Genomic DNA, 16,088 nt, shown 5'->3' on the forward strand with positions numbered 1-16,088 from the left:
CTCCTGGTGCTCAGCAAATTTCTGAATGGGGGAGGTTGGCCAGCCTGGGAGAGGTCACCCACGCCAGGAAGTCTCAGTACCTCTCTATTTATCCTATCACTTGGGAATCCTCTAGGATCTGTTTCAGGGAGTCTCTGGTTAGCCCTGAGACATAAGTGGTGCGGGTGAGACTCCTGGGGCCTATCTCAGAGGTCCTCACACCCCTGAGATTAAATCAGTCAGGAGGCAGGGTGGAGAGAGGAGTGTCCTATCAGGTCTGAGGAGGTTGTCAACTTCCTGGACTTCTTGCTAAGGACTCCTCTTCCCACCCTTCATGGGTAGCTGAGGTCAGGGAATCTGTAGGGACAAGACTTTCTTTTAAATGCTAATCTGCTGACTAACCCTGAGTCTGGGAATGCCTCCAAAATGTCAAGCTGATGTGTTTTTTTATTTTTTGGTTTTGTTTTTTTTGTTTTTTTTTTGAAACGGAGTCTCACTCTTTCATCCAAACTGGGGTGCAGTGGCACGATCTTGGCTCACTGAAACCTCCACCTCCTGGGTTCAAGCAATTTTCCTGCCTCAACCTCCCAAGTAGCTGGGATTACAGGCACGTGCCACCATGCCTGGCTAATTTTTATATTTTTGGTAGAGACAGGGTTTCACCACGTTGGGCAGCCTGGTCTCGAACTCCTGACCTCAGGTGATCTGCCCACCTCGGCCTCCCAAAGCGCTGGGAATACAGGCGTGAGCCACCGTACCAAGACATCCCACAGCACCAGCCTGTGTGTGTCTCGCCAGGCTCAGAGCTGGGAACCTGGAACCCAGGACTGGGTGAGCTCAGAGACATAACTGTGACTGTACTGGAGTCAGTCTTATGCCCAGAGCTAAGCAGAAGCAGGGCCAGCCCAGAGGAGACGATGTTACCGACTCCCACCCCGTCCTGTCTAGCGCTTAGAGTACCTCTGTACTGGCTTGCTTCCTACAGTTGCTCTGGGAGGAATGTGTGCCAGAGACCCTGACCTCTGACCCAGGCATGCAAGGGTCTGCCTTGCCTAGTTGAGCCTGTGCACTCTGTCTCTGCCTCCCTTCAGATAGGGAAAGGAGCTTCAAATTACGGGGTGATGTCATAGCACGGAGTGGAGATGGGGTGGCAGGGAGACAGGGAGGCTCAGGGAAGGAGGCCAGGTATTTCACAGAGGAGTTCTGGGGGAGAAGAAGGAAAACGGCAGAGAAGGGAACAGGAAGGGGTGAAGGAAAGGGGAAAAGTGCCTTCACTGCATGGAAAGGTCCTTCTCACCCACAGTGGGGTGGGATGGAGACTGTAACCTCAAGTACTTTTCTGCAGGGGACAGGCAAGTAACACATATGAAACGTGCTGAGTCAGGGATGCAAGAGGGAGTGTCCCTGTTCCTATGTCCAGGACAGCCACTACTCAACGAACTGCTGCCATAAAAATCCAATGTTGCAGCATCTTCTGATATAAATAATAAAGCAGGCCGGGTGTGGTGACTGACGCCTGTAATCCTACCACTTTCGGAAGCCGAGGTGGGTGGGGGAGGGAAGGGCCGGGGCAGGGGATCTTTTCTTTTTTTTTTTGAAACGGAGTCTTGCTCTGTCACCCAGGCTGGATTGCAGTGACAGGATCTCCGCCCACTGCAAGCTCTGCCTCCTGGGTTCATGCCATTCTCTTGCCTCAGCCTCTTGAGTAGCTGGAACTATAGGCGCCTGCCACCATTTCCAGCTAATTTTTTGTATTTTTAGTAGAGACAGGATTTCACCTTGTTAGCCAGGAAGGTCTCGATCTCCTGACCTCGTGATCCGCCCACCTAGGCCTCCCAAAGTGCTGGGATTACAGGCGTGAGCCACCGTGCCCGGCCAGGAGGGGATCATTTGAGCCTAGGAGTTCAAGACCAGTCTGCAACCTGGCAAGATCCTGTCTCAATTAAAAAAAAAAAAAAACAAAAAAAACAACAACAAACCAAGCCCCAGAAATCGACTGTGATGTGAAATCTCCTTATTTAAATGTTGGCTCTTTAAAAAAATAAAAAGACCAGGTTAGGTGGCTCACATCTGTAATCCCAGCATTTTGGGAGGCTGAGACCAGAGGAACACTTGAACTCAGGAGTTCAAGACCAGCCTGGGCAACACAGTGAGACCCCGTCTCTACAAAACATTTTTTAAAAATCAAAAAATTAGCCAGGTGTGGTGGTGTATGCCTGTAGTCCCAGCTCCTTGGGAGGTTAAGGTGGGAGGATCACTTGAGCCCAGGAGGTTGAGGCTACAGTGAGCCACAATTGCACCACTGCACTCCAGCCTGGATGACAGAGTGAGATTCTGTCTCAAAAATAAATAAATAAATAAATAAATAAATAAATGGGCATGGTAGCTCACACCTGTAATTCCAGCATTTTGGGAGGCTGAGGCAGGGGGATTGCTTGAGCCTGGAAGTTTCAGAGACCAGCCTGGGCAACAAAATGGAACTCAAAAAGTAAAAATCTTGGCTTGTTTGAAAACACACACACACACACACACACACACACACACACACACACACAGCCAAAACAAATGTGTTTCCCATCTCGGGCTTGGGCACTGGGTCACAAGCTTGGACAGTGAAGCTACTTCTAAACCCAGCACAGGGTACAGTGGATGCAGGACATGGGATAAACTCCTGTTAGATTAAGCCCGTCCCTCTGCTTCTGAGGTCTGGCCTGCCTCGCTGTTCTGGTCAGAACCTGTTTTATGCAATTGGAGAGGAGAGGGGTCCCAGGAGTATTAGCCCTAATGTGAGAAATTAGATTACAGGTCTCTGAAAGGGATTCTGCAAACCAATCCTCCTTCCAAGCCTACTCTACCCATACCTAATATTCTTAAGCAGTTATGAATTTTGCAGAGGTCTACAACACTTGACACTCACTCAAGGCAACTGTGAGGAAACTGAGGCTTAAAGGCCACTAGTAAGCAGTGTAAAAAGGACCTGATCATGACAATTATTCTTTGAGTGCCTACCATGCATGTGCTGGGCTCAGGCCCTTCACTCAAACCCTGGCTCGTACTCTCTGAAGGGTCCTGGGTGAGGAAGATGTCAAGAACCCCATACCTCATCACTGACTCCCTGCCGGGGGCATGTGCTGCTCCCAGCCTGAGATGAGTGCTGTTCATTACACGTCATCTCCATGAAGCCTCCCGCATTTGCTCCAGGAAAGGCCCGTTCGCCACCCTGGCGTCATTCACTCTGTGTTGCTGATATTGAGTCTGTTTCCTTCAAGGGGAAACAGGCTACCCAAGGACTGGGGCTGCTGCCTTCATTTCTGTAACCTCCGGGGGGAGCTCTTGTGTGAGCCGCATGATGGATGCTTGCTAACAGCTCTAGGCAGGAGGCAGAGGGAAACTGAGGTCTGCCGAGTCATCCCTGGCCCAGGTACTTCATGCGTGTGCAGTGTTGCTGTGGAATCTTTACCACAACCTCCCATCCCTGTTTTACAGATGAAGAAACAGGCTCAGAAGAGGCAGACGTGTCTAAGATCACACAAGCCTTGACACCATGAGCTAGAAGCTGAGGGTGAGGTCACTTCACATCCCTTCCCTTTAGGTTCTACTCTATGTGGGTAGCGTCCTCGACACAGAAAGCCTGATAAAAGATGGCAAAATTACCGGGCGTGGTGGCTCATGCCTGTAATCCTAGCACTTTGGGGGGCTGAGGCGGATGGATCACTTGAGGTCAGGAGTTCGAGACCAGCCTGACCAACTAGAGGCTGGTCTTTAGTAGAGGGTTGGTGAAACCCTCTACTAAAAATACAAACACTGGCTGGCATCGTGGCGCAAGCCTGTGGTCCCAGCTACTCGGGAGGCTGAGGCAGGAGAATCACTTTAACCCAGGAGGCGGAGGTTGCAGTGAGCTGAGATCGTGCCACTGCACTCCAGCCTGGGCAACAGAGTGAGACTCCGTCTCAAAAAAAAAAAAAAAAAAAAAAAAAAAAGATGGTAAAATTTGGGGGCAGCAGACCAGATGCCTGGACTGATGGTAGGACTGTCCCACAAGGGGTGGACATTAGGTCCTTGAAACAGACAACTCCCTCCCCCAGCAGGGAAGGGAAGGGCCTCAGAGCTTGGTGTCTACTCTGAGCACAGGCAGGTGCTTTGGGAAGCCTACCCCTGGCTCTCACATACACAAAGTTATGCCAGTAGAAATATATGTTTGGGCAATGCCCAGGCAAAAGGGCCATGTTCAGTCCCCAATGTCCAGGCACAAAGGACTCTTCGCCACTCTTCCCTCTCTTGACAGACTGGCAGAAAAGGAGCCTGGGGAACTTGGAAGGGAAGGGGATAAGGCAGGGGAAGGGGCAGATGACAAACCCTGGGCCTCTTGCCCCTGCCCAGAAATGCAACAAAGCAACCCCTGAACTCAACATACAGGTCTGTTCTGGGGCCCCCACCACCCTAGCATCATCCATAATGATAGTTCTCACGTGCTGAGAGGACTTTTGAAGGGCTCACACACCCAGGGCTCACACAATGGTCCCAAGTTCAAATTCTCTGGCCCATCTGCCAGAACACAGGATCCCTCATGGTTCCCTCTGGAGGTTAGGAATGCCCCGCCTGCGCGCTGCCATGGAACTCCTCACAGGGGCTTGCCTGATTTCTGGTCCCATTCCTCTGGGAAGAGGTAGCTGTTGTTCTAGGTGTGATTAACCCCATCACTCCCTAGGCCTGTGAAGGGACTGTGTCAGCTACTGCCAGATCTGCAGGCAGCTGGGTCCACGCTGGATAGCTCCCGCCATTCCAAAACTCTCCCTTCAGCTGGTCGACGTTCTGTCTTTGTAACTTCAAAGAACAAACCTAAGCCCTCTCAGCTGACTGGGCTCTTTGAAGGCAGTGATCACAGATCTAGTGTTCTGATTCTTCCAGACTGGGGCTCCTTTGTTAAAAACAATTTTTAAATTTGTTATTTTTTTGAGACACTCTCTGTCGCCCAGGCTGGAGTGCAGTGGCACGATCTTCGCTCACTGCAGCCTCCGCCTCCCGGGGTTCAAGTGAGTCTCCTGCCTCAGCCTCCCGAGTAGCTGGGATTACAGGCGAGAGCCAACACGCCTAGCATTTTTTTTTTAGTAGAGACAGGGTTTCAATATGTTGGCCAGGCTGGTCTCGAACTCCTGGCCTCCAGTGATCCGCTAACCTTGGCCTCCCAAAGTGCTGGGATTACAGGCATGAGCCACCATGCCCAGCCCAGACTGGGGTTCCTTGACTTAGCAAAGGGTTGGGCAAAAAGATGTGGAGACCCCCTCGCCCCAACCGAATCCCATCATTAGCTCTAAAATCAACAGCCCTAAGGGAGCAGAAGGGGGTCTGCTTAGAGATCCTGGTTCCTTCCATTTCCTTGAAGTCCGAACCAAAGTCAGAGCTGAAGTTTCAGCTAAAATTGAAGCCAGGGCTATTTGCAGAGGCTGCCGCCCTAGTGCGTCCGCTGGTGCTGGCCCAGGTTGGAGCTTTGCGCTAGGGCCCTGCCACACTGCAGGCAGACGCAGGGGTGCTGCTGTGGGCCGCCTAGTGGATGGGCAGGTGGGAGCTGTGGCCGAAGGTCTGGCCACACTCACCACCAAGCATCAGGTTTCCGGACTTTGTGACTGTGCTGGTGCCGCAGCAGATTCCAACTGTGCACAAAACTCTTACTACAAACAAGGCACTTAGAGGCCTTCTCACCCATGTGGAGCGCAGGTGCTGCAACAGGGTGGAGCCAAGGCTGAGACTCTTGCCGCAGTCCCCTCAGCGGTAAGGCTTTTAGCGGTGTGAGCGCGCTGGTGCTGGATCAGGTTGGAGCTGACGCTGAAAGTCTTACCACACTAGGCACAGGCATAGGGCCGAAGCGATGGTCACACTCGGGGCAGGAGTACGGCTTTTCACCGGTGTGTACCCAGTGGTGCTTAACCAGATCAGAGCCACATCGGAAGCTTCTGCCATAACCCGGACAACGGTAAGGCTTGTCACCAGAGGGGCTGCCTTGGTGGTGAATGAAGCCGGGGAGGCAGGCTGTGGTCAGTCCACATTTCCGGCACTCGCAGGTTTTGGGGCTTGTAGACGGTTGCTCTTGGCAAAGGCTTCTTCCTCCCCAGGGCTAGAGCCTGACCATTTTCCGGGCGGGCAGCTGCCCCGACCACACCAGGAAGGGCTGCTCAGGCGGAGCCACCTCGCAATCCAGGGGTGACCTGGGGGCTCCCCGGGACGCGAATGTCCCGCTCCCCCGCCGCCCCGCCCCGTCCGGATTCTCCCTCGCCTCTTCTGGCGCGGCCGACTGCGCTGCGAGTGAAGAACTCCCCGTTTCCTAGATGCCAGCTCCTGAGCTCACGAGCACGTCCAGAGCGGAGGACACTCGGGACACCGGGGTCCAGCTCCGGAAACGGAAAATTCCACAAGCCCGTCACTCTAGGAAGCGGCAGCGAACGTTCTCGGTAGGTTTAACCCTCTTCTTCCTCTGACCGAGCGAGGGCTCCCCGTCTGCGGCGCGGTCAGGACCCCGCACTTTCGGCCCGGCTCGGGGTTCTCGGAGTCCGTCCCAAGGCCGGGCCGCACCACCGCTGGGGGGCAGCGAAGCGAGCCTAGAGGAGAAAAGGCGGTCCCCGCCGAGTGCACGCCGGGGGCGGGGCACGGCACGAAGGCTCCGTGGTCGGACTTCTGGGCTGTTCGGAGGCCCTGGCCCACCTGGAGGGCCCTGGAAGAGTTTCCAGCGCTTCCCGAGGTAGGCGTGAGAAGCTCGACGCGGACCACATCTCCCTCATGCACCGCCCGCACGTCCCAGGATGCGCTGCGATTAAGGTACTGCCGCGCCTCGTGTGCAAGGACAGACTTCCGGGGTCGAGAACTACAACTTCCGACTTGCATCACTGCGGTGGCGCTAAACAGCGTCAGCGAGGCGGTGCCCGACGATTTCCCTGTCTTCCAGTTCCGCTCCCTGGGATCAGCGGCGAGAAGCGGGGCGGAGTCTGAGGCCCGAGCCAAGATGGCGGCTGCGAAGCCAACCCTCACGGACTCGCTCTCGTTCTGCCTCGCGCAGCTCGCGGCGGCGGCCGGGGAGGCTCTGGGTGGGGAAAAGGACCCAGCGACCAACGAGACACCCCTGAGCCGCGCGCTCCTAGCCCTCCGCACGCGCCACATCAAGGCAGCGGGGGGAATCGAGCGCTTCCGGGCACGCGGCGGGCTCCGCCCCCTACTCGCGCTGCTACGGCGAGCGGCTGCAGCGGGTTCCGCCCCGTCCCAGGCAGGCCCCGGCTCCGCCCCCTCGTCGGCCGCGTCGGGAGCTTCTAGCCCCGCCCCCGCGTCGGGCCCCGCCCCCTCCGCTGTGTCGTCGTCTAGTCCTACGCCGCCAGTGCGCCTGCGCAAGACGCTGGACTTGGCGCTCAGCATCCTAGCCGATTGCTGTACGGAAGGGGCGTGCCGGACCGAAGTGCGCAGACTCGGAGGCATACTCCCTTTGGGTAAGTGCTCCGCCCCCGTTTCCTAGAAAGATTAGGTTTGCAACTCCCTTGCTCTCTAGACCCGGGCAGTCTGGAGTTCTTTGTGTCCTATCCCGGAATAACGTGCTTTGTGATGGCGCATCGCTCCTGTTTCTCAATCTGTTGTGCCCCGTGACGTCACTGCACTCTCTATAGATGAGAGAGAGCCCTCCCAGACCAGATAATTGTAGCCATTATCTAGGAATTGGTTGTTGAGGACTTCTTTCGAAGCTGGACTAGCGGAGGCCAAAGAGTTATTTGGTGATTTTTTCAGATGATTCTTACCGTCCAGTTATGATGTTCATAGCAGACATTCAGTGCCCAACTATGTGTCCGGCCCTGTGCAAGGTTCTGAAGCCCCACTGATGAGCTGGAAGGTGTAGTGGTTCAGAAAGGGAGATCTGCAAAAGTCACCTAACCCCTCCGAGGCTAGGATTCCTTGTAAAATGGGGCAATAATAGCTACCTAAAAAAATCAGAGTGGGGAGAAAACGAAGTACAAATATGGCACGAATATGCAAATATTCTAAGCATGATACGTATTTCAAGTTATTAAAAACTAGCATAAGCTGGGTGCAGTGGTACGCGCCTGTAGTTCCAGCTATTTGGGAGGCTGAGGCGGGAGGATCCCTTGAGCCTAGGAGGTTGAGGCTGCAGTGAACAATGACTGCCTGTGAATAGCCACTGCATTCCAGCCTGGGCAACGTAACAAGACCTCGTATCTTAGAAAACCAAACAAATCAGTAGTCGCTTAGGAAGCAGGAAAAAATAAATAAAAATAATTAAAACCAGCACAGTAAGAACAAATCCTAGCAAAACATAAGCTTTTCTGTTTACCAGCTAAATTGGTGCCTCCTAGTGGCAATGTGTGAAAGCAGTTTACATGTCACTACCTGCCTTCCACGAAATTATGCTAGTTTTGATGACATCTTAACTTTTCGGATAAAGGGAAGCATTAATATATTTAAAATTTACATAAAATGTATCTGGACCATATATGTTTGACAAGAGCTTTGGTTATTAAATAACCCCCATCATTCAGCTACTATTTTTCATCTTAAATATCTTCTGAATTTATCTGCTTCTCTCTCTTCCTACTTCCATTGTGTGCCCAGAGACTGGTATCTCTGTGCTGTGTGATGCCAGTAGCTGGGTTGGTTCAAGCTATTGTCTTTTCATGCTTGGACTATTATGACAGCCTTTTGACTCCCCCCTTCCTATTCTTTCCCCATAATGCATTCTCCCTATGGATGTCAGATTGTATCGTGTCACTCCCCTTCATAAAACCCTTGTGTGGCCCCCAGTGCCTTCACATTCAAGTCCTGACCCCTTGGCCTGACATTTGAAGCCTTTCACAGACACTGTATCTTACCTCTGGGCCTTTGGAAAGGCTGCTTCCAAACCTGAAATGCCTTCTCACACCCCCATCCACCGTGCTTCTGGCAAATACCTTCCTGTGTACCCCTCCAGACCCAGCCCGAGTGTTAGCCTCTTTCTTTTTATTTTTTTGAGATGGAGTCTTGCTCTGTCATCCAGGCTGGAGTGCAGTGACACGATCTCAGCTTACTGCAACCTCTGCCTCCTGGGTTCAAGCAATTCTCCTGCCACAGCCTCCCGGGTAGCTGGGATTACAGGCGTGTACCACCATGCCCAGATAATTTTTGTATTTTTAGTAGAGATGGGGTTTGGCCCCGTTGGCCAGGCTGGTCTTGAACTCCTGACCTCAAGTGACCCACCCACCTTGGTCCCCCAAAGTGCTAGGATTACAGGCTTGAGCCACGGTGCCCTGCCGACCATTAGCCTCTTCTGAAAGCCTTCCAGGCCCTCTCAGGCCACATTCTCCAGGTTATTGATGTGAGAGACAGTAAGGGGTAGAACCCTCACAAGCCCAAACTGTCGTTGCAGTGACCATTCTTCAGTGCATGAAGACAGACAGCATCCAGAACCGAACGGCCCGTGCCCTGGGGAACTTAGCCATGGAACCTGAGAGCTGTGGGGACATCCACTGTGCTGGTAAGAGGCTGTGAGGTTGGGGTCTGCTAGGGCTTGGGGCAGAAGAAAGGCTTGAGTGTCTGTCCTTGTTCACCCTCTGTGCTCCCCTTTCCTGCCCTCAGGTGCTGTTCCCCTGCTTGTGGAGAGCCTGACAGCCTGCCAGGACTCGCAGTGCCTACAGAGCGTGGTGCGTGCCCTCCGTAACCTGGCAGACTCACCCCAGCACCGCCTGGCCTTGGCACAGCAGGGAGCAGTGCGTCCGCTGGCCGAGCTCCTGGCCACTGCCCCAGATGCTGCACTGACCTTAGCCCTCGTCCGTGCCCTCCTGGAACTCAGCCGAGGCTGCTCCCGGGCCTGTGCTGAGCAGCTAAGTCTGGGTGGGGGATTGGGCCCACTCGTCAGCCTGGCTTCCCACCCCAAGCGGGCAGTACGCGAGGGAACCATTCTGATCCTCGCCAACCTGTGTGCCCAGGGCCTGATTCGGCCTGCACTGGGCAATGCTGGTGGCGTGGAGGTGCTGGTAGATGAGCTCCGGCAGCGCCGGGATCCTAATGGAGCTAGCCCAACCTCCCAGCAGCCCCTGGTGCGGGCTGTGTGCCTCCTATGTCGTGAGGCCATCAACCGGGCCCGACTGCGGGATGCTGGTGGCTTGGATCTACTGATGGGCCTGCTGCGGGACCCTCGTGCAAGCGCATGGCACCCTCGTATTGTGGCTGCCCTTGTGGGGTTTCTGTATGACACTGGGGCCCTGGGCCGGCTGCAGGCTCTGGGACTTGTGCCTCTCCTGGCTGGGCAGCTGTGTGGTGAGGCTGGTGAGGAGGAAGAAGAGGGAAGAGAAGCTGCTTCCTGGGACTTTCCTGAGGAGAGGACCCCTGAGCGGGCACAGGGTGGAAGCTTCCGGAGCCTCAGGTGAGTCCCTGCCTCAGGGCTTGGGAGGGTGAGCAGTGCAGTGATGTGGGGTTTGTGTCTGTCTTGGTCCTCTTCACTACCTCCACCCCTATTCTGTCTGAATAAGACTTTTATAACCCAGACTCCTGATTCCCACACGACCACCTGCCAGTTCCTATTTAACACACTCCACTCCCCTGAGTCTACCTTTTTTTTTTTCGAGACAGAGTCTCACTCTGTCACCTAGGCTGGAATGCAGTGGTGCCATCTCCACTCACTGCAACCTCTACCTCCTTGGTTCAAGCAGTTCTCCTGCCTCAGCCTCCCGAGTAGCTGGGATTACAGGTGCCGGCCACCACTCCCAGCTAATTTTTGTATTTTTAATAGAGACAAGGTTTCACCATGTTGGCCAGCCTGGTCTCGAACTCCTGACCTCAGGTGATCCACCCGCCTCAGCCTCCTAAAGTCCTGGGATTACAGGCATGAGCCACTGCACTGGCTGGATCTACCTTTTAACCTTGGTTCCACGCCAGCACCTTTGAACTTTGGGCCCCAGACAAGTTCACTGGGAGGTGGGATATACGCTGGTTAAGATGGTGGGCTCTGGAGTCCAAGTTCTTACTCTCTTACCATCACTCATGAGCTGAAGCATCACAGGAAAGCTGAGGAACTCTTTATTTTTTTTTAAACATTAGCGTTGGGGATCTCGCTTTGTTGCCCAGGCTGGTCTTGAACTCTTGGCTTCCAGTGACCCTCCTGGCTCAGCCTCCCAAAGTGTAGGGATTACAGATGTGAGCCACCATGCCCAGCCCCCAGCGCTTCCTATTTCCTTTTTATTTTCTCCATGACCCCTGTACTCTACACTAGCCCCACACTAACATAACTCATGGTACTCTTACTTCTTGTCTGCTTCTTCTCACTGGAACATAAACTCCAGGGGGACAGGCACTTTGTTCAGTGCTTCTACCCAGCACCTAAAGAACGGCTTGGCACGTGACAGGCATCAGTAATTACTGAATGAGGTTTTAGTCGTATCCCCCTCTCACTTCCGTTTCTCCCCTTTCTCCGCCCTCCTTCTCTCCCCTGGCTTTACCTCCCTCCAAGACAGCTTTTAGCTCATGCAGTGGCTCACGCCTGTAATCCTAGCACCTTGGGAGGCCAAGGCAGGAGGATCGCTTGAGCACAGGAGTCCGAGACCAGCCTGGGCAACATAGCGAGACCCATCTCTACAAAACATTTAAAAAATTAGCTGAGTGTGGTGCACACAGCTGTAGTGCCAGCTACTTGGGAGGCTGAGGTGGGAGGATCACTTGAGCTCAGGAGTTCAAGGCTGCAGTGAGCTAGGATCCCACAACTGCATTCCAGCCTGGGCTATAGAGGGATACCACATTTCTTTAAAAAAAAAAAAAAAAAAAAAAAAGACGCCTCACGCCTCTTGGACTCTGCCCCTTAACCTTGGCTCTGGGTTCAGTCTCCTTCCCTTTCTGCCCTCCGCAGGTCGTGGCTGATCTCCGAGGGCTATGCCACAGGCCCTGATGACATCTCCCCCGACTGGTCTCCTGAGCAGTGTCCGCCGGAGCCCATGGAGCCGGCCAGCCCCGCCCCGACCCCGACCTCGCTGCGGGCACCACGCACCCAACGCACTCCGGGCCGCAGCCCCGCCGCCGCCATCGAGGAGCCTTGGGGACGCGAAGGGCCAGCCCTGCTGCTGCTGTCGCGCTTTTCCCAGGCCCCTGACCCAAGTGGGGCACTTGTGACCGGCCCGGCGCTGTACGGCCTGCTGACCTATGTGACCGGCGCACCGGGCCCGCCCAGCCCACGTGCACTGCGCATTCTGTCACGCCTCACCTGCAACCCTGCCTGCCTCGAGGCCTTCGTGCGCAGCTATGGCGCGGCGCTGCTGCGGGCCTGGCTGGTGCTGGGGGTGGCGCCTGACGATTGGCCGGCACCACGTGCCCGGCCCACTCTCCACAGCCGGCACCGAGAGCTGGGTGAGTTCCCATACCCACCCGTCTCCTTGCCCCCATGTGAGTCCCCATCCTCCCCCATGGCTTCCATGGGCCCAGAACCTCACCTTCCCACTCACCTGTCCTCCCCAGCCCGTCCTCCAGACAACCTGTCACCAGAGTGGGGTGGGGAGCAGGGCGTTCCAGTCCCTCCATGGGCCCACAGGCAGAGTTCTGCTGTGTCCTCTGCCCTAGCCCTGGGACCCAGATACCCTAACTCTAGATGCAGCCCCGCGCCCAGGATCTGGGCTGGTCTGTGCTTCTTTCCTGGCTCTGCCATTGGTTCAGCACTGTCCTGACTGCTCCCCACCAGCACGCTGACCTGTGAACCCCAGCCTCACCATCACCCCCAGCACTGCCAGGGACTGCCCTGTCTGCTGTGCCCTGACCACAGGCTGCTTCATGGCGTTACTGCTAGACCAAGGAGCCCTTCTGCTGGCCCTGTCCGGGCATAACAGAAGGCTCGCACTCTTGTCTTCTGGTCACACCTCACTATGTCCCCTCAGCTCCTATCTCTGTATGGCCTGGTTTTTCCCAGGTTATGATTATAGAGCGAGGATTATTACAATATTGGGATAAAGAGTAATTACTACAAACTAATGATTAATGATATTCATATATCTCTAAGATCTATATCTGGTATAACTATTCTTGTTTTATATTGTATTATACTGGAACAGCTCGTGTCCTCCGTCTCTTGCCTCGGCGCCTGGGTGGCTTGCCGCCCACACTTCAGGGGCCCAGACTTACACCCTGACTGTCCCACCTTCTGTCCTTGTCCTGGACCTCAGGTTCCCAGCGTCCCGAGCCCAGCACTGTCTCTTCAGTGCCCTGATTTCTCACCCAGAGGTTTCACCCTCCTTCATCTCACGGGCCCAGAGCCCTGTCTCACTCACCCCACCTGTCTTAGACCCCAGTTCCCAGCCTGACAAGCTTTCCACTCACAGGGGAGAGGCTACTGCAGAACCTGACGGTTCAGGCTGAGTCGCCCTTTGGGGTTGGGGCCCTGACGCACCTGCTGCTCTCTGGGAGCCCTGAGGACCGAGTGGCCTGCGCGCTGACCCTGCCCTTCATCTGCCGGTGAGTGGGAAGTGGGTGCCTTGCGGGGTTGGGGGAGGAGTGCTGTGTTTCCCAGGCCCGTTGCCCACCTTTTGAAAGGCCCTCTCTTCCCTGTAGGAAGCCCTCTCTGTGGCGCCGGCTGCTTCTGGAGCAGGGTGGTCTCCGGCTCCTCCTTGCGGCGCTGACCCGGCCGGCCCCACACCCGCTCTTCCTCTTCTTTGCCGCGGACTCCCTTTCCTGCCTCCAAGACCTGGTGTCTCCCACTGTGAGCCCAGCTGTCCCACAGGCAGTCCCCATGGACCTAGACTCACCTTCCCCTTGCCTCTATGAACCTCTGCTGGGCCCAGCCCCTGTCCCAGCTCCCGACCTGCACTTCCTGCTGGACTCAGGCCTCCAGCTCCCTGCCCAGCGAGCGGCCTCAGCCACCGCCTCCCCTTTCTTCCGGGCCCTGCTGTCAGGCAGCTTTGCAGAAGCCCAGATGGACCTGGTGCCCCTGCGAGGTCTGTCGCCTGGTGCAGCCTGGCCTGTCCTGCATCATTTGCATGGTTGTCGGGGGTGTGGGGCTGCCCTGGGGCCCGTGCCCCCACCAGGCCAGCCCCTGCTGGGTTCAGAGGCCGAGGAGGCACTGGAGGCTGCTGGCCGTTTCCTACTGCCTGGGCTGGAGGAGGAGCTGGAAGAGGCCGTGGGCCGCATCCACCTGGGACCCCAGGGTGGCCCGGAGTCAGTGGGTGAGGTGTTCCGCCTGGGCCGGCCCCGGCTGGCTGCCCACTGTGCCCGCTGGACACTGGGGTCAGAGCAGTGCCCGAGGAAGCGGGGTCTGGCCCTGGTGGGGCTTGTGGAGGCAGCAGGTGAAGAGGCAGGGCCCCTGACGGAGGCTTTGCTGGCTGTGGTGATGGGGATTGAGTTGGGGGCAAGGGTCCCTGCCTAGACTGTTGACGTCCCCTGGGAAGGGGACCCAAGGATGAATTGGCTGTGAAGGATCCTCCCTGAGACTGGCAAGGGAGGAGGCTGAGCAGAAGGAGTCATCATGGAGGAGCGGTGAGAACATGGAACCGGACTCCAAGATGACGATCTAAAGACCCGGGAGCGAGAAGCCAAGGCCAGGTTCTGGGTGTAGGGCCCAGAGAAGCAGAACAGCCCAGAGCCCCAGGTGCCTGGCCTGGCCTAGACCTCTGGAATTGAGATTAAACAATTTGGAGTTGGATACCTGTGTTGTGTGGTGTGTCTGCTTCTGTTTCTTCGCCCACCAAGCAGGGTCTTGTTCAGGTCTTTGTGTCTGGACACAGACCACCCTTGCATGTGACAGTTTAATAAGTACTGGGACAAGGTTGAGTTCCCAGGCTGCTGCTTAGGATGTGGTTTTGGGCCTCAGGGGAAGCCTGCTTCCTGCTGTCAGGGCCTCACTCCTCTGACATAGCAACCCAACTGGACACACAGATCTTGCTTGGGGCTGAAAGGGTTGTGCTGAGGGAATGCTGTTAGTCTGATGATGTGTTGAAGGCCTTTGCATTACTGACTGTTGCCCATCTTGGGCCCCCATTCTTTGGCTCCCTTTTCATCTCCTGGGCCACGTGTCCTACTGCTGTCTGTCTGAGGGAAGACCTGCTGTGGAGGGAATCTCTGAGCCCTGTCTTAGTCATGCCCAGAGACAGACAAAGACCTGTGCTGGCGTTGAGGGGAGGGAAGGGCTCACATTGCTTTGGTCTCCAAGGCAGGGTCTCCATCATCTGGCTTCCAGATCTTTTTTTTTTTTTTTTTTTTTGACTATTATTTTGCTTTAGATTCAGGGGGCACGTGCATGTTTGTTACACGGGTGTATTGTGTACTGGGGAGGATTGGGTTTCTAGTGAACCCATTACCCAAAGAGTGAACACTATACCCACTAGGCAATTTTCCAGCCTTTGCCCCGCACCTACCCGCCCCCCTTTTGGAGTCCCCAGTGTCTGTTTCTATCTTCATGCCCCTGTGTACCCATTGCTTAGTTCCCACTTATAACGGAGAACATGCAGTATTTGGTTTTCTGTGTCTGAGTTAGTTTACTTAGGATAATGGCCTCCAGCTCCATTCATGTTCCTGCAAAGGACGTTATTTCATTTTTTAAGGCTGTGTACTATTCCATGGTGTATATGTACCACATTTTCCTTTTTTTTTTTTAAGAGACAGGGTCTTGCTATGTTGCCCAGGCTGGTCTCAAAATCCTAAGTTCAAGCAGTTCTCCTGCCTCAGACTCCTAAAATGCTGGGATTTATAGGCACGAGCCACTGTGCCAGCCAACATTTTCTTTATTCAGTCACCCATTGATGGATACTTAGGTTGGGTCCATGACTTTGCTATTGTGAATAGTACTGCAATAAACACAATGAGTCCAGCTGTCTTTTACATGATTTCTTTTCCTGTGGGTAGATGCTCGTTAGTGGGATTTCTGAGTCAAATGATAGTTCTAGTTGTAGGTCTTTGAGAAATCTCTATGCTGTTTTCCAGAGAGGTTGAGCTAATTTACATTCCCACCAACAGTGTATAAGTATTCCTCTTTCTCCACATTCATGCCAACATCTGTTGCTCTTTTACTGTTTAATAATTGGCTTGCAGATTTTTGACTCCTCAGTGGCAGCCTGATTTTGGGGAGAGCTGCACTGGGCCTGCCAAGGTTTGCTTCTGGGCAGCTGAGGTTGGCACTT

General features: G+C 54.8%; 1 protein-coding gene across 6 annotated transcripts, besides 6 other annotated features; it reads left to right on the plus strand.

Moving 5' to 3' along the window:
* Positions 132 to 904: an enhancer, noted in NCBI's record as "H3K27ac-H3K4me1 hESC enhancer chr16:31464004-31464776 (GRCh37/hg19 assembly coordinates)". NCBI's record gives its function as "activates a minimal SCP1, AML or CMV promoter by ChIP-STARR-seq in primed H9 embryonic stem cells {active_cell/tissue: H9 hESC(primed)}" and the evidence as "EXISTENCE:reporter gene assay evidence [ECO:0000049][PMID:30033119]".
* Positions 905 to 1,676: an enhancer, noted in NCBI's record as "H3K27ac-H3K4me1 hESC enhancer chr16:31464777-31465548 (GRCh37/hg19 assembly coordinates)". NCBI's record gives its function as "activates a minimal SCP1, AML or CMV promoter by ChIP-STARR-seq in primed H9 embryonic stem cells {active_cell/tissue: H9 hESC(primed)}" and the evidence as "EXISTENCE:reporter gene assay evidence [ECO:0000049][PMID:30033119]".
* Positions 4,864 to 5,432: an enhancer, noted in NCBI's record as "H3K4me1 hESC enhancer chr16:31468736-31469304 (GRCh37/hg19 assembly coordinates)". NCBI's record gives its function as "activates a minimal SCP1, AML or CMV promoter by ChIP-STARR-seq in primed H9 embryonic stem cells {active_cell/tissue: H9 hESC(primed)}" and the evidence as "EXISTENCE:reporter gene assay evidence [ECO:0000049][PMID:30033119]".
* On the plus strand, positions 5,753 to 14,616 carry ARMC5 (armadillo repeat containing 5). 6 transcript variants are annotated; one of them, NM_001288767.2, is made up of 8 exons: positions 5,753 to 5,950; positions 6,303 to 6,425; positions 6,917 to 7,448; positions 9,371 to 9,478; positions 9,580 to 10,366; positions 11,843 to 12,336; positions 13,299 to 13,431; positions 13,528 to 14,614. In NM_001288767.2, exons 1-8 carry the CDS (start codon positions 5,846 to 5,848, stop codon positions 14,336 to 14,338), a joined length of 3,093 nt encoding a protein of 1,030 aa, NP_001275696.1. In that variant the 5' UTR covers positions 5,753 to 5,845; the 3' UTR covers positions 14,339 to 14,614. The 6 variants fall into 6 exon arrangements, with proteins under 6 accessions (NP_001275696.1, NP_001288749.1, XP_006721154.1 ...); NM_001301820.1 differs by lacking the exon at positions 5,753 to 5,950 and having other exon boundaries at positions 6,303 to 6,789; positions 13,528 to 14,616; XM_006721091.4 differs by lacking the exon at positions 5,753 to 5,950 and having other exon boundaries at positions 6,303 to 6,789; positions 13,510 to 14,614.
* Positions 6,080 to 6,620: an enhancer, noted in NCBI's record as "H3K27ac hESC enhancer chr16:31469952-31470492 (GRCh37/hg19 assembly coordinates)". NCBI's record gives its function as "activates a minimal SCP1, AML or CMV promoter by ChIP-STARR-seq in primed H9 embryonic stem cells {active_cell/tissue: H9 hESC(primed)}" and the evidence as "EXISTENCE:reporter gene assay evidence [ECO:0000049][PMID:30033119]".
* Positions 6,619 to 6,958: an enhancer, noted in NCBI's record as "active region_10764". NCBI's record gives its function as "activates an Ori minimal core promoter by ATAC-STARR-seq in GM12878 lymphoblastoid cells {active_cell/tissue: GM12878}" and the evidence as "EXISTENCE:reporter gene assay evidence [ECO:0000049][PMID:35858748]".
* Positions 7,149 to 7,498: a silencer, noted in NCBI's record as "silent region_7419". NCBI's record gives its function as "represses an Ori minimal core promoter by ATAC-STARR-seq in GM12878 lymphoblastoid cells {active_cell/tissue: GM12878}" and the evidence as "EXISTENCE:reporter gene assay evidence [ECO:0000049][PMID:35858748]".

The sequence above is a fragment of the Homo sapiens genome, chromosome 16 (assembly GCF_000001405.40).
Source record: "Homo sapiens chromosome 16, GRCh38.p14 Primary Assembly".
Lineage (NCBI taxonomy): Eukaryota > Metazoa > Chordata > Mammalia > Primates > Hominidae > Homo > Homo sapiens.

Bases quoted from the DNA above. Each gene is read 5' to 3' on its own strand.
- ARMC5 (NM_001288767.2), top strand. From the start codon at position 5,846: ATGGTCACACTCGGGGCAGGAGTACGGCTTTTCACCGGTGTGTACCCA. The intron at 7,449-9,370 runs GTAAGTGCTCCG...CTGTCGTTGCAG, and splicing joins CGGAGGCATACTCCCTTTGG to TGACCATTCTTCAGTGCATG. The intron at 10,367-11,842 runs GTGAGTCCCTGC...TGCCCTCCGCAG, and splicing joins GGAAGCTTCCGGAGCCTCAG to GTCGTGGCTGATCTCCGAGG.